The sequence below is a fragment of the Homo sapiens genome, chromosome 18, assembly GCF_000001405.40.
Source record: "Homo sapiens chromosome 18, GRCh38.p14 Primary Assembly".
Taxonomy (NCBI): domain Eukaryota; kingdom Metazoa; phylum Chordata; class Mammalia; order Primates; family Hominidae; genus Homo; species Homo sapiens.
In genome coordinates, this window is record NC_000018.10 from 11,866,235 (window position 1) to 11,880,539 (window position 14,305).

Consider the following 14,305-nt stretch of genomic DNA (forward strand, 5'->3'; position numbering starts at 1 on the left):
GCTCATCCATTTTCATCAAGTATCTCAGCGTGCCCCACGTGTGCTAATGTAAAGCGTACGGATTAAATTCTAATAGGATCAGCAACATACCCGCCCAGGACAAAAAAATCTAGCCCGTGTGGTCCTAAGGCACATGCATTATGTTTAGGGAGGGGAGAAATCTCAGAGGCAGGGAAGCCTGCGAAGGTTGGAAACATCCAGCAGAATCTGGGTAGGTAGAAACTCTCCCAGGGAGAAACGCCTTATGCGCTGAGCAGGGGCTGTGAGAAGAGGGGCCTGGGCCGGCCTGATGAAGTGCAGGGTGCAGCTGAGAAACTCTGAGAGAACTGGCTGAGGTCGCCTTGGCTGAGCGAGACCGGGAAGCAGCTCGGGCTGGGCAGAGCAGCCTGCACTGAATCCAGGCGTGATCAAGACCCAGTGCAGGTCACCAGGCAGAGGTGGCTAGAGATAAGATGCATGTAGTGTAGACAGATCAGCAAGGAGCCTTTCTCAATTCTCCATGGGAGGGAAGACACAGTGTCCTGAGAGCTGGAACAAATCACAGGAAGGATCTGCCCTGGGCAGTGACTTAGCCTGTACTCAGAGAGGCCTGAGTGTCTGAGCAGGTAACCTCTAGCATTACTGAGCTAGTAACCACTGGATTTATTAAGGACCTACTGTGGGACCTCAGACACTGCCGGCTGCTGTCTGCTTGATCTGTCACCCCTGTAGCCCCACTGTGGGGTGACTGAGGAGGGACTGCGGCTGAGAGAGGTGGAGCCACTTGCAGTCCAGGATCACACAGGGAGTGATGGTGCAGGCCAGTGACCCGAGCTTGACTCAAGACCCATGTGTGAACGCTGGAACCTGCTGATAGCAAAAGAGGAAAGCAAGCACGTTTGCCATTGTCCCCTGCTTCCCCCAAATAATTGTGTTCCTCTTGCTCTTCCACAGCATGTTTGATGTTGGTGGCCAGAGGGATGAGAGGAGAAAATGGATCCAGTGCTTTAACGGTGATTTTTTTATGCTCTCTCAAGAAAATAGGAGTGAATTCTAACACTCAGCACTGCTGTGCTTAACTATTCTTGAATTAGATAATCTCTAACTAATATGTAAAGTATAGCATTTATAGATTATGATGCTCCTTCCTTAGATACTAATCTCATTAAAAAAAGCATTTAAGGGCCTGACACGGTGGCTCACGCCCGTAATCCCAGCACCTTGGGAGGCCAAGGAGGGCGGATAACCTGAAGTCAGGAGTTCGAGACCAGCCTGGCCAACATGTCGAAACTGGGGCTCTGTTAAAAATACAAAAATTAGGCCGGGCGTGGTGGCTCATACCTGTAATCCCAGCACTTTGGGAGGCCGAGGCGGGCAGATCACGAGGTCAGGAGATCGAGACCATCCTGGCTAACGAGGTGAAACCCCGTCTGTACTAAAAATACAAAAAATTAGCCGGGTGCGGTGGTGGGTGCCTGTAGTCCCAGCTACTCAGGAGGCTGAGGCAGGAGAATGGCGTGAACCTGGGAGGCAGAGCTTGCAGTGAGCTGAGATCGCACCACTGCAGCAGTCCGGCCTGGGCAAAAGAGCGAGACTCTGTCAAAAAAAAATAATAATAATAAAAAAATTAGCCGGGTGTGGTGGCTCATGCCTGTAATCCCAGCACTTTGGGAGGCTGGGGTGGGTGGATCACCTGAGGTCAGGAGTTCAAGATCAGCCTGACCAACATAGTGAAACCCCGTCTCTACTAAAAATGCAAAAATTAGCCGGGTGTTATGGCGCACACCTTTAATCCCAGCTACTCGGGAGGCTGAGGCAGGAGAATCACCTGAACCCGGGAGGCAGAGGTTGCAGTGAGCCAAGATTGCGCCATTGCACTCCAGCCTGGGCAACAAGAGTGAAACTCTGTCTCGGAAGAAAATACAAAAATACAAAAATTAGCCAGGTGTGGTGACACATGCCTATAATCCTAGCTACTAGGGAGGCTGAGGCAGGAGAATCACTTGAACCTGGGAGGCGGAAGTTGCAGTGAGCCAAGATCATGCCATTGCACTCCAGCCTGGGAGACAAGAGTGAAACTCCATCTCAAAAAAAAAAAAGCACTTAAGCATCCCAAATTTACATGTGTCTTTTGGGGTGGGCTCTTCATCAAGTGCGTTACTGAAGCAACCAGTGGTGCGCGGCGCACCTGCAGGCTGTTCTGTGACTGAATAGTCCTATCACTGAATGAATGTTTTTGTGGAACTGAGTAGCTGCTGGGTGTGTACTTTCTTGTAACTCCACAGTGAGGATGTCTAACTGAGGTGCTTTCCTTTTTCTCCCCACCAAGATGTCACAGCTATCATTTACGTCGCAGCCTGCAGTAGCTACAACATGGTGATTCGAGAAGATAACAACACCAACAGGCTGAGAGAGTCCCTGGATCTTTTTGAAAGCATCTGGAACAACAGGTGACAAAAATAGCAAATTCAGTCTTACCATTGGATTGCAAATTTTCTTTTGTTAAAAATACGCTCAGGCCAGGCGTTGTGGCTCACACCTGTAATCTCAACACTGGGAGGCCGAGGCAGGTGTGTCACTTGAGCTCAGCAGTTGGAGACTAGCCTGGGCAACATGGAGAAACCCTGTCTCTACAAAAAATACAAAAATTAGCCAGGTGTGGTGGTGCACACCTGCCCAGTGACTCAGGAGCTTGAGGTAGGGGGATCACTTGAGCCCAGGAGGTAAGGGTTGCAATGAGCTGAGATCACACTACTGCACTCCTGCCTGGGCAACAGAGCAAGACCTTGTCTCAAAACACACACACATACCTACACCCACACCCACACACCCACACACTCTCTTTACTGATAAATCCAGAACCGTACGAAGTATCTCTTTTAGTTCATCTATTGTATAGATATACTTAAAATGTGGAATATTTTTTTTTATTATTTTTTTTTTATTTTGAGATAGAGTCTCGCTGTGTCACCCAGGCTGGAGTGCAGTGGCGCCATCTCGGCCCACTGCAAGCTCCACCTCCCGGGTTCATGCCATTCTCCTTCCTCAGCCTCCTGAGTAGCTGGGACTACAGGCGCCCTCCACCACACCCAGCTAATATTTTGTATTTTTAGTAGAGACCGGGTTTCACCATGTTAGCCAGGATGGTCTTGATCTCCTGACCTCGTGATCCACCCACCTCGGCCTCCCAAAGTGCTGGGATTACAGGCGTGAGCCACCGCACCCGGCCAATGTGGAGTATTCTTTGATGAAGTTCTGATAGTTCTTTGTCAAGAAAATTTAAGTCTCTGTTTTGAAAGGCTAAGATTATATTCGGCCTTCCATATCTTCAGGTTCCACATCTGCGGATTCAACCAACCACAGATTGAAAATATTCAAAAATAAATTTAAGATAGCAGTACAACAACAAAAAATAATACAAGATTACAGTGGCATACGCCTATAATCCCAGCACTTTGGGAGGCTGAGACGGGGGAATTGCTTGAGCTCAGGAATTGGAGACCAGTCTGGGCAACATGTTGAAACCCTGTCTCTACAAAAAATACAAAAATTAGGCATGGTGGGGCGCGCTTGTAGTCCCAGCTACTTGGGAAGCTGAGGCAGGAGGATCACTTGAGCCCAGGAGGCGGAGGTTACAGTAAGCTGCGATTGCATCACTGCACGTCAGTCTGGGCGACAGAGGGAGACTGTGTCTCAAAAAACGTAATTAATTAAAATAAAAAATTGAGCAAATAAAAAAATTGACTAAAAATAATACAAATAAACAATACAGTATAACAACTACTTACCTAGCTTTTACATCGTGTTAGGTATTTTAGGTAATTGGAGATGATTTAAGCATACGGGAGGATGTGCATGGTTTATATGCAAATACTACACCATTTCATATAAGGGAGCCTCCTCAAATTTTGGTTTTCACAGGGAGTCCTAGACCAATCCCCCACGGGTATCAAGGGATGACTCTATATCTAGGGTTCAAAATAGGTTTTGTTTGGTTTTTAAATTTTAGGAAGTACCAGTTTAGGGGCCGGGAACAGTGGCTCATGCCTGTAATCCCAGCACTTTGGGAGGCCAAGGCAGGAAGATCACCTGAGATCAGGAGTTCGAGACCAACCTGGCCAATATGGCGAAACCCCGTCTCTACTAAAACTACAAAAATTAGCCAGGAGTGGTGGTGGGCGCCTGTAATCCCAGCTACTCGGGAGGCTGAGGCAGGAGAATCGCTTGAACCCGGGAGGTGGAGGTTGCAGCGAGCTGAGATCGCACCACTGAACTCCAGCCTGGGCAACAGAGTGAGACTCTGTCTCAAAAAGTAAAAAAAAAAATTTTTTTAATTTTGAAAATAAATAAAGTACCAGTTTAGGACATCCACTAATAACTAGATGATCTCTAAGATCCCTTACAGCTCACAATCACCACATAATCATGTTTGAAACTACTAGCATTGCAGATTGGCAGAAGTGATTATTTCAGAAAGGAATATTTAGCGCGCACACACACAATACATACATATATAGTTAGAAATCAAAGTTTCTTCTGAAATATTTTGGAAGAAATATTACCAAGGAGGAGAGGAAACATAAGTTTACCTTATAAAAGTTTTGGATTATCAGAAAAGTGTTTTTGTATGAAATGTTCAACAACCATCCTCAAATTTGTGGTAATAAGACTGTTAATAGGAAAGAAACAGGGTCAGGAAATACCAGGTATACAGAAGGATACTATAGAGTTATTATGAATTTATTTATAAACACTATATGTGTAAGTGGGAAAATGACCACAATCTTCTTATAGGAAAAAGCTGATTTTAAAACACTATGATCTCGTTTTTAAGTATGTGTGAGGACAGAAAAAAACTTGGGCATGAAAACATAAAATTTCTGTAGTAATTGTTTCTGGGTATAATTACATTTGATTTTTTTCTGTATGTTTTTCTATAAGATTTGTTTTTACAAAGGTTATATATTTTATTACTAGAAGAAGCAGGTAAGCTATTTCCATTTGACGGGAAAGTGGATTGTGTGTGTGGGTTTTTCTTTCTTTTTTTTTTTTTTTGAGACAGAGTCTCGCTCTGTCCCCCAGGCTGGAGTGCAGTGGTGCAATCTCAGCTCACCACAACCTCCACCTCCCCAGTTCAAGCGATTCTCCTGCCTCAGCCTCCCGAGTAGCTGGGACTGCAGGCACGTGCCACCACGCCCAGCTACTTTTTGTATTTTTAGTAGAGACAGGGTTTCACAGTGTTGGTCAGGCTGGTCTCGAACTCCTGACCTCGTGATCTGCCCACCTCTGCCCCACAAAGTGCTGGGATTACAGGCGTGAGCCACCACACGTGGCCAAATTGTGTTATTAATTGATAGTAAGATTCCTGTAGACTAATCAGTTAGCTTGATTCCTTTGAAGTGATGGAGGCGGAAGAAGAACCAAGCCAGCTGCATGTTAAGCTCTGTGTTATTAGCTAATGAGTCATATATTACTTTGTTGTTGTTAACACTTTCACTTCTAATGTGAGTTTTCCGACCTTTTATTGGTAAATTACACCACAGAAATTCAAGTGAACTCATTACATAAGTAAATCTTAGCTTTGGTTCCAATAAATCTATATCCCCCATGGGACTGAATTAGAAAGTGCTTAACTACAGATTGAGTATCCCTTATCCGAAATGCTTGGGACCAAAAGTGTTTAAGATTTCTTGTTGTTGTTGTTTTTTGGAATAGTTGCATTATACTTACTAGTCCAGCATCCCTAATATGAAAATGCAAAGTGTCAAATGCTCCGACAAGCATTTCCTTCGAGCATCATGTCAGTGCTGAAAAAGTTTTGGATTTTGAAGCATTTTGGATTTTGTGTTTTTGGATTAGGGATGCTCAACCTGTACCTATATTTGTTTATCATTCTTTACAGATGGAATGAGGATACTGGTGTACTGAACTTTCTTGAATCCTATACATTTTTAGGAAGACGATGGTATTCTTTTAATTTAGCAACTTCTATGTTAGAGGCACTTTCATGTACTAGTGTATGTGAAATTTGTATGTTTATTTTTCCTTTTTTAGGTGGTTACGGACCATTTCTATCATCTTGTTCTTGAACAAACAAGATATGCTGGCAGAAAAAGTCTTGGCAGGGAAATCAAAAATTGAAGACTATTTCCCAGAATATGCAAATTATACTGTTCCTGAAGACGGTAAGATTTCAAAACACATTCTTATGATTGAGGAATAGAATTGTTTTATTAATAGTCCTGTAACTCTAATTCACATACCTCTGATGAATCAAAGAAATTCACTTTATTTAAATCAATTTTCTTTCTACTGCCCATATCCTAAAGTATTAGAGTGTTACAAGGTCCTATTTGTAATCGGATCCCATTTGTAAATGTTTCCGAGTTTGACTTTCCATTGAAACCGTGCAGCAGAAGAAAGAGCCATTTTGGGATGTGACTGTGTCATGCTGGTATGAGCTCTCCCTCTAGTGCCTTTGGCTGGGTGTGACATGACAGGTGCCTTGTTAGTCCTTGATACAGACCTTCTCACTTCACCCTCAGATGACCCTGCATGGTAGTTTCTATTATTTTTTCCCGTGGAAAGAGAGTCTGAGAGAGGAGAGATAGCGTGTTCAAAGCCACACGGGTAGAGTCATGCAGGCAAGGCAGTCCTTGCACCCTTTGTCCCCAAGCCCATGCTGGCAGCAGCCGCGCTTATCTGCTCCTGTCTCTAGCCTTGCTGTGGCTGCAGCCTTGGGGATTTCCAGCAGGGCCAGCAGCCATCCCAGGCCACCTGAGACTGAGGGGTTTCCGGGGCACGGGACCGTCAGTGCTAAAGCTGGGAAGGTAGACCAGGAAGAGTTGGTCACTCCGTTTCCAGTCGCTTACACTTCAGTTTCCAGTGAACACCAGGTCTACCAGAGGCTCATAGGAGTGATTTAAGGTGAAATAACACCGCTTCTTACATCTTGAATTCCAAACTAGAAAACGCAGAATAAAAGACACTTTCCTGGAAAATATAGTTAAGATTTGGAAAATTTATTTTTTATCCTCAATGAAGAGGGAAAAGAAAACTTGCATTTGTCATTAAACTTTTTTGCTCCTTATGTTCAATGTTCTTTTCTCCCTCATGGGAGAGGCATTATATAAGTATATTCATAGTAAAATCCTGACCCTTGTGGGGCCTTCCAACAAAATCCTACTGCTATCACCTGTGTCATAAAGACCCGAAAAAAATTCCTACTGCTACATATTTCCTTATAGGAATAAATAATAGACATTGGAAATGGGCCTGAGCACCAGCTCTGCCTGTGGTCTCACCAGACCCAGCTGCTTTCATGAGCCACCAGCAGTCTCCGCACCCGCCAGAGGGTCACTCAGCGTGAGGTCAAGGTCCAGGCTCTTCCTGAGACCAAATCAAGTGGAAATCTCATTGCAGTTCATCACTGCCTTGCTCTACCCGCAGCCTGATGATGTGCTTTCCAGGACTGAGGCCGGGTGCCGCTTGCCCATGGCACATCATCAGAGCATGGCTTCTGCTGCGCTTTCTGTGGCTGGCATTGCCAGTTTCCCAGCAAGCTGGGTCTTTAATTCTCCCGCTAACCGCCTCTTGCCACCTCCTGTCACTCAGCTCAGGCAGTGGCTCGGCGGCCGGGGGGTCCTTCCAACAGGGTCTGCCTCCCCAGGCCCTTCCCTCTTTCCCTCCTCATGGCTGTGGTCCAGGCCCTCACTCCTCTCGTCTCAGCAGCTGCCACAGCTTCCTGCCTGACCTCCTGTAGCTGGTCACTCACCTTTCCAGAACATTCTGTGAACTACCAAAGTCACCCTTCTGAGACACAACCTTACCTGCTTAGGAGCACCAAGGAGAAGCACCACCACTGGCTGACAGCCAAGGCCACCTGCCCAGCCGCGGGTGCTGAAGGGCTTCCGTCCAGGGGCTGAGGGGACCCTGGCTTGCTGCCTCGGTGCCAGGCCCAGTGACTGCTCTTCACCCAGCAGCATGCGTCATCTCCATCTGTGCCCTGCCTCTCCCAAGAGACTCACCCATCCCTGAGCATCTGCAGCACCTGCTGGAAGCCTGGGACCACCATCAACTCCAACGTCAACTCTCACTTAGCAATTAAAAGGAACTAACAGTTGGTCCATGTGACGGCATGGGTTAAACTCACAGTAATTGTGCTGACAGAAAGAATCAAAGCAAAAACTACACACCATGTGAATGCATTTGTGTAAATGTCTAAAAAGTAAATTAGCTGGGCGTGGTGGTGTGCGCCTGTAGTCCCAGCTACTCGGGAGGCTGAGGCAGGAGAATCACTTGAACCCAGGAGGCGGAGGTTGCAGTGAGCCAAGATCGTGCCACTGCACTCCAGCCTGGGCGACAGAACAAGGCTCCGTCTCAAAAAAACAAAAAAAAAGCACTCCAGCCTGGGTGACGGAGTGAGACTTAGTCTCAAGAAAAAAAAAAAGAACTCCTCAGATGGTACACGGACACTCTGGGCATTCCAGAGTATGTCAGTGACCCCCACCCCCGCCAAGATAAATGACATGGGCGCTCCCCAGCCACTCCAGAACACAGCCCAGGCAGAGACCCACAGCGGTTGCTGCACCCTTCCCTCCCTCACTGGATGCTGCACCCACCCACCCCCCACAGCAGGTGCTGCGCCCTCCCCTGCCCATCACTGGGTGCTGCACCCTCCCTTCTATGAATCTGTGAGTAAGTGTCCTCACAGCCTCACACACCCTGCAACAGAGAAGGCAGAGAGTGGTAAGAACACTCAGCTGTGTCGCCTAGATCTCAGATTTCGTGGGGTTACAGAAAATAATGATAGGACCACATGAATGTGGACTCTTCCGGGGGAGAATGCCTCAGAAAGGCCTAGAGCTAGAGGGTCGGCCATAGTGATCTGGGTGCTCCGCATGCCTGAGTGGGGAGCAGGAACAGGGAAGGGGAGTCTCAGAAGAGGAGGCTGATGGAAGCTGAGAGGCAGTCCATGGAGGCCCTGCCAGTGCTGCCCCCAGGGAGGCCAGGGCCCAGCTCCTGTGCCTGGAGGCTCCGAGCTTTCCTCTCCCAACAGCTCTGCAGGGAGGGCAGCTCTGGGGCTCAGGCAGGTCAGTAGGATTTCTCCCCCACCCCAGCCTGTCTTGCTTGCGCTGCTGTAACAAAATACCTTAGGCTGGTGATAGGATTTAGATCTGTGTCCCTAACCAAATCTTTTGTGGAATTGTAATCCCCAGTGTTTGAGGTGGGGCCTGGTGGGAGGTGACTGGATCTTGGGGATGGATCATTTTTGAATGGTTTAGCACCATCCTCTTGACACTGTTTTCAAGATAGTGAATGGGTTCTGCAACAGCAGGTCATTTAACAGGGTGTAGCACCTCCCCCATCTCTCTCTCGCTCCTGCCCTGGCCACGTGAGATGTCTCACTCCCTGTGCATCTTCTGCCATGATTGGAAGCTTCCTGAGGCCTCCCCAGAAGCCTAGCAGATACCAGCATCGTGCTTCCCGTACAGCCTGCAGAACCATGAGCCAATTAAACCTCTGTTCTTTATAAATTACCCAGTCTCAGGTATGTCTTTATAGCAATGCAAGAATGGACTAACACAGCTGGATAATTTATGAACAACAGAAATGTATTAGTCACAGTACTGGAGGCTGAAATGTCAAAGATTAAGACACCGGCCGATTCAGTGTCTGGTAAGGGTTTCTCTGCTTCATAGATGGCACTGTCTCATTTCCTCCTCACATGGTGGAGAGGGTGAGGGGTCTCTCTCAGGCCTCTTACAAGGATATAATCCCATCCATGAAGGCGGAGCCCTCGTGACCTCATCACCTCTCAAAGGCTGCCCCTCTTGATATTGTTGCATTGGAGATTAGCAGTCAACATATGAATTTGGAGGAGACAAAAACATTGAGACCATAGCACCCCCAGAGAAAAGTTTTATCAGAGCAATAACTATTAAAATGATGTAGGAGAAGAGGGCAATGAAAATTACATGTTTGGCTGGGCGCAGTGACTCACGCTTGTAATCCCAGCACTTTGGGAGGCCAAGGTGGCCCTGAAGTCAGGAGTCTGAGACCAGACTGGCCAACATGGTGAAACCCTGTCTCTACAAAAATTAGCCAGTTGTGATGGCGGGTGCCCGTAATTCCAGCTAGTAGGGAGGCTGAGGTGGGAGAATCACTTGAACCGGGGAGGTGGAGGTTGCAGTGAGCCGAGATCATGCCACTGCACTCCAGCCTGGGCAAGAGAGTGAGACTCCGTCTCTTAAAAAAAAAAGTACATGTTTGTTTTTGCCTTGCTGTACATGTATTTTAATGCTGGGAATATACAGCAGTCTAACGTTGAAATTCCTTCTGTGTTTTCGTAGAGTTGTATCTTTGTTTCATGTTGCTTAAATAAAGTTCCATTTGTCATTTCTACAGCAACACCAGATGCAGGAGAAGATCCCAAAGTTACAAGAGCCAAGTTCTTTATCCGGGACCTGTTTTTGGTAAGCAATTTTGTTAACCTTTGTTTTTCTACCTCCCTTCTTAATCTTTTGTTTCTTACAATATGCAAATTACTCCTTGATGATCTCATTTAATCTTCCTTAACATTACGAGCGATGACAAAGGGTATGTTACTTTAATTTCACAGCTGAGCACACCGAGGTTCAGAGAGGTTAGATTTCTCACCCAAGGTCACACAGCTTCCAACCAGCAGAGCCTGGGTGAGAACACAGCGTTCCAGGGAATGGCACTTGGATGGGCTAGACTTCATTCACTTGTTGTATTTTCCAAAAAGGACAGCGTCCTTCAGCAGAGTCTAAGCACCCATACTCTTCCTCCATCCAAAAGCACTAACAGGCTGATGGTTTATGTAAAAATGGATGTGCTCAAATTCAGATATTTACTTTTTTTTCTTCAGCTTTTTGAGATTATTTCAAACTTACATATGAGGCAGAAGATTTGTACAAATAACTCCCATATACTCAGGCCGGGTGCGGTGGCTCATGCCTGTCATCCCAGCACTTTGGGAGGCTGAGGCAGATGGATCACCTGAGGTCAGGAGTTCGAGACTAGCCTGGCCAACATGGTGAAACCCCATCTCTACTAAAAATACAAAAAATTAGCTGGGTGTGGTGGCATGCGCCTGTAATCCCAGCTACTCTGGAGGCTGAGGCAGGAGAATTGCTGAAACCCAGGAGGCGGAGGTTGCGGTGAGCCGAGACCACACCACTGCACTCCAGCCTGGCCGACAGAGCGAGACTCTGTCTCAAACAAAACAAACAAAACTCCCATATAGTCTTTACCCAAATTGACCAATTGGCAAAAATTTGCCACATATGCTTTATCTGTCTATATGATTTTCTTTGAAATAACCTACAGCGTATAGCTAGCTGTGAGTTTTTACTCGCTTCAAACTATTACATGCCAAGGCATTCCCAAGGGCGATGTTCCCGGTAGTACTCCAAGTGCACTTAACACGTGTGGACAAGATCTTAGTCCAGGTAGCAGTAGGGCTGATCCTCGGCTGTGGGGCCTTTCCACGGGGACCGGCACTCCAGCCTGGCCTTTCACCACCCTTTTCCCGGCACACCCCTGTGGGATGACTCTTGAATCCTACAGTGAGTTAGAAAGTAACAATGAGGAGAAATCAAGGCCCCAGGGTGAGTTCAGAGGACAAGAGTTCCCCCAGAAGTGCATGGCCGTAAGTGCATGGCAATACCCAGAGAGCTTCTGCAGCTGAATAAATCTGGGACATGCTATGTTAAATACAGCAAGAGAGCCTTTACTTAAGCCAATTAATGTGCATTGCAAATCTCTTCAATAAGGGAATTTAGTTTGTAATAGCTCAAGGGATCCCTTTTTTAAGGAGCATTTTGTAAGACCATAGCACATAAAGACACAAGAAAATGCTGTTCTAATGAGAACTAAATGTTAATTAAGCATGCATATGTTGGGCATTTAAATGAAGATTAGAAACATCCAGGCCGGATGCAGTTGCTCATGGATGTAATCCCAACACTTTGGGAGGCCAAGGCAGGTGGATCACCTGAGGCCAGAAGTTCGAGATCAGCTAGACAACATATCGAGACCTCATCTCTACAAAAAATTTTAAAACGTACCTGGGTATGGTGGCACAGGCGTGTAGTCCCAGCTACTCAGGAGGCTGAGGTGGGAGGATCCCTTGAGCCTAGGAATTTGAGGTGGCAGTGAGCTATGATTGTGCCACTGCACCCCAACCTGGGTGACAGAGCAACACTCCATCTCAAAATAAAAACAAAAACAAAACTATTTGAAGCAACGACCTTTGTAATGACTCCATTCCCTTAATTTTAAAGCTCTAGACAGGGACAAATAGTCACACTATTACAGAAGAAAGCCTTTTTTAGTTTGTTTATTTGGGACATTGCTTCACACTGTCACCCAGGCTGCCTGGAGTGCAGTGGCAAGATCGTAGCTCACTGCAGCCTCCAACTCCTGGGCTCAAGCAACCCTCCTGCCTCAGCCTCCTGAGTAGCTGGGACTACAGGCACACACCACCGCACCCGGCTAATTTTTAAATTTTATAGAGATACAGCCTTGCTATGTTGGCCAGGCTGGTCTCGAACTCCTCGCCTCAAGTGATCCTCCTGCCTCCACCTCCCAAAGTGCTGGGATTACAGGTGTGAGCCACTGCACCCAGCCAAAAGCCTATTTTTCATCCATTCACTACACACTTACTGTGTATGTGCCAAATACCTCACCTGGTGCTTTGGGATTAAAAAGATATATAACTGGTTGGAGGAGTGGGGAGGGATAGCATTAGGAGATACACCTAATGTAAATGACGAGTTAATGGGTGCAGCACACCAACATGGCACATGTATACATATGTAACAAACCTGCACGTTGTGCACATGTATCCTAGAACTTACAGTATAATAAAATATATATATATTAAAAATATATATATATAACCTACTCATTTTAGTGTCCATAAGTTTTTTTTTTAATGCTCAAGAGAAGCCTGACTATTGCTAAAATAGGTCTATCCCCGTGAGGAGTTTCATACCTCATGACATCTTTAGGATACCCTTTCTGTGGTCCAAGCAGCTCTCTAAAGGCTGTTTCCCAGGATCGAAAAAGGAGTGGAGGGGATGAGGAGGAGGCCCAGGGATTCTCGTGGCACCAAGGAAGAAGGTGAGCTTCCACAGGACCTCTGTCTAAGTCTGCCCGGGCTGCCATAACAAAGTGCCGCAGAGGCTGAGTGTCTTAAACAGCAGAAATGTATTTCTCACAGCTCTGGAGGCTGGAAGTCTGAAATCAAGGTGCGGGGTCTTCCCTCGCACATGGCTGCATCCTCCTGGTTTCCTCTTCTCTCTAGGACACCAGTCATATTGCATTAGGGCCCACCCTAATGACCTCATTTTACCGTAATTGCCTCTGTAAAGGCCTTATCTCCAAATATAGTCACATCTGAGGTGCCAGTCGTCAGGGATTCCACACAACTTCAGGGAACACAATTTGGCCCTAACAGCCTGTCCCCACACCCACTGCACTTAGCTTCATAGTGCACATTAGCACATCACTGAGGTGGTCCCCACAAACCATGATTCGTAATGTCTAACCCTGTTTCTCAGGTACTTGATAACAGATCACTTTTCTCCCAGAAGGCAGCAAACGTTCCCCCGATAACCAGGGGACACCCTGCTTAGCAGATGCTAAACTGCCCCTGTGTGGAGGCCGCCACCGGGCCGCTGCACCGTCCAGTACAGAACCACTGGGCACATATGGACATTTAATTAAAACTAGCTGGCCGGGCGCGGTGGCTCACGCCTGTAATCCCAGCACTTTGGGAGGCCGAGGCAGGCGGATCATGAGGTCAGGAGTTCAAGACCAGCCTGACCAACATGGTGAAACCCCGTCTCTACTAAAAATACAAAAAGTAGCCAGGCGTGGTGGCGCACGCCTGTAATCCCAGCTACTCAGGAGGCTGAGGCAGGAGAATTGCTTGAACCCGGGAGGCAGAGGTTGCAGTGAGCCGAGATGGCACCACTGCACTCCAGCCTGGGGGACACAGCGAGACTCCATCTCAAACAAACAAAAAAACAAACAAGCTAATTAGGTGGGGCACAGTGGCTCATGCCTATAATCCCAGCACTTTGGGAGGCCGAGGTGGGCGGATCACTTGAGGTCAGGAGTTTGAGACCAGCCTGGCCAACATGGTGACACCCCGTCTCTACTAAAAATACAAAAATTAGCCAGGCGTGGGCACGGTGATGGACGCCTGTAATCTCAGCCACTTGAGAGGCTGAGGCAGGAGAATCCCTTGAACCTGGGAGGTGGAGGTTGCAGTGAGCCAAGACTGCACCACTGC

At 47.1% G+C, this 14,305-nt stretch overlaps 1 protein-coding gene and 1 long non-coding RNA gene across 6 annotated transcripts in view, besides 1 other annotated feature; one reads left to right on the plus strand and one right to left on the minus strand.

Moving 5' to 3' along the window:
- GNAL (G protein subunit alpha L) overlaps positions 1–14,305 on the plus strand; it is a 196,422-nt gene that overhangs the window by 176,971 nt on the left and 5,146 nt on the right. For all 5 annotated transcript variants that reach the window (NM_182978.4, NM_001261443.2, NM_001142339.3 and 2 more), the window contains 4 exons: positions 934–992; positions 2,309–2,429; positions 6,034–6,164; positions 10,387–10,454. In NM_182978.4, coding sequence (NP_892023.1) covers positions 934–992; positions 2,309–2,429; positions 6,034–6,164; positions 10,387–10,454 — 379 coding nt within the window. The remainder of the gene's footprint in view (positions 1–933; positions 993–2,308; positions 2,430–6,033; positions 6,165–10,386; positions 10,455–14,305) is intronic.
- Positions 9,357–9,568: a silencer, noted in NCBI's record as "fragment chr18:11875590-11875801 (GRCh37/hg19 assembly coordinates)". NCBI's record gives its function as "represses an EF-1alpha promoter that drives an FKBP-Casp9 reporter gene in an ReSE screen in HepG2 liver carcinoma cells {active_cell/tissue: HepG2}" and the evidence as "EXISTENCE:reporter gene assay evidence [ECO:0000049][PMID:32094911]".
- On the minus strand, positions 10,252–12,400 carry LOC124904252 (uncharacterized). The gene is made up of 2 exons (XR_007066298.1): positions 12,072–12,400; positions 10,252–11,565 (listed from the first exon to the last, which is right to left on the minus strand). It is a non-coding gene; the product is annotated as an uncharacterized LOC124904252 (long non-coding RNA).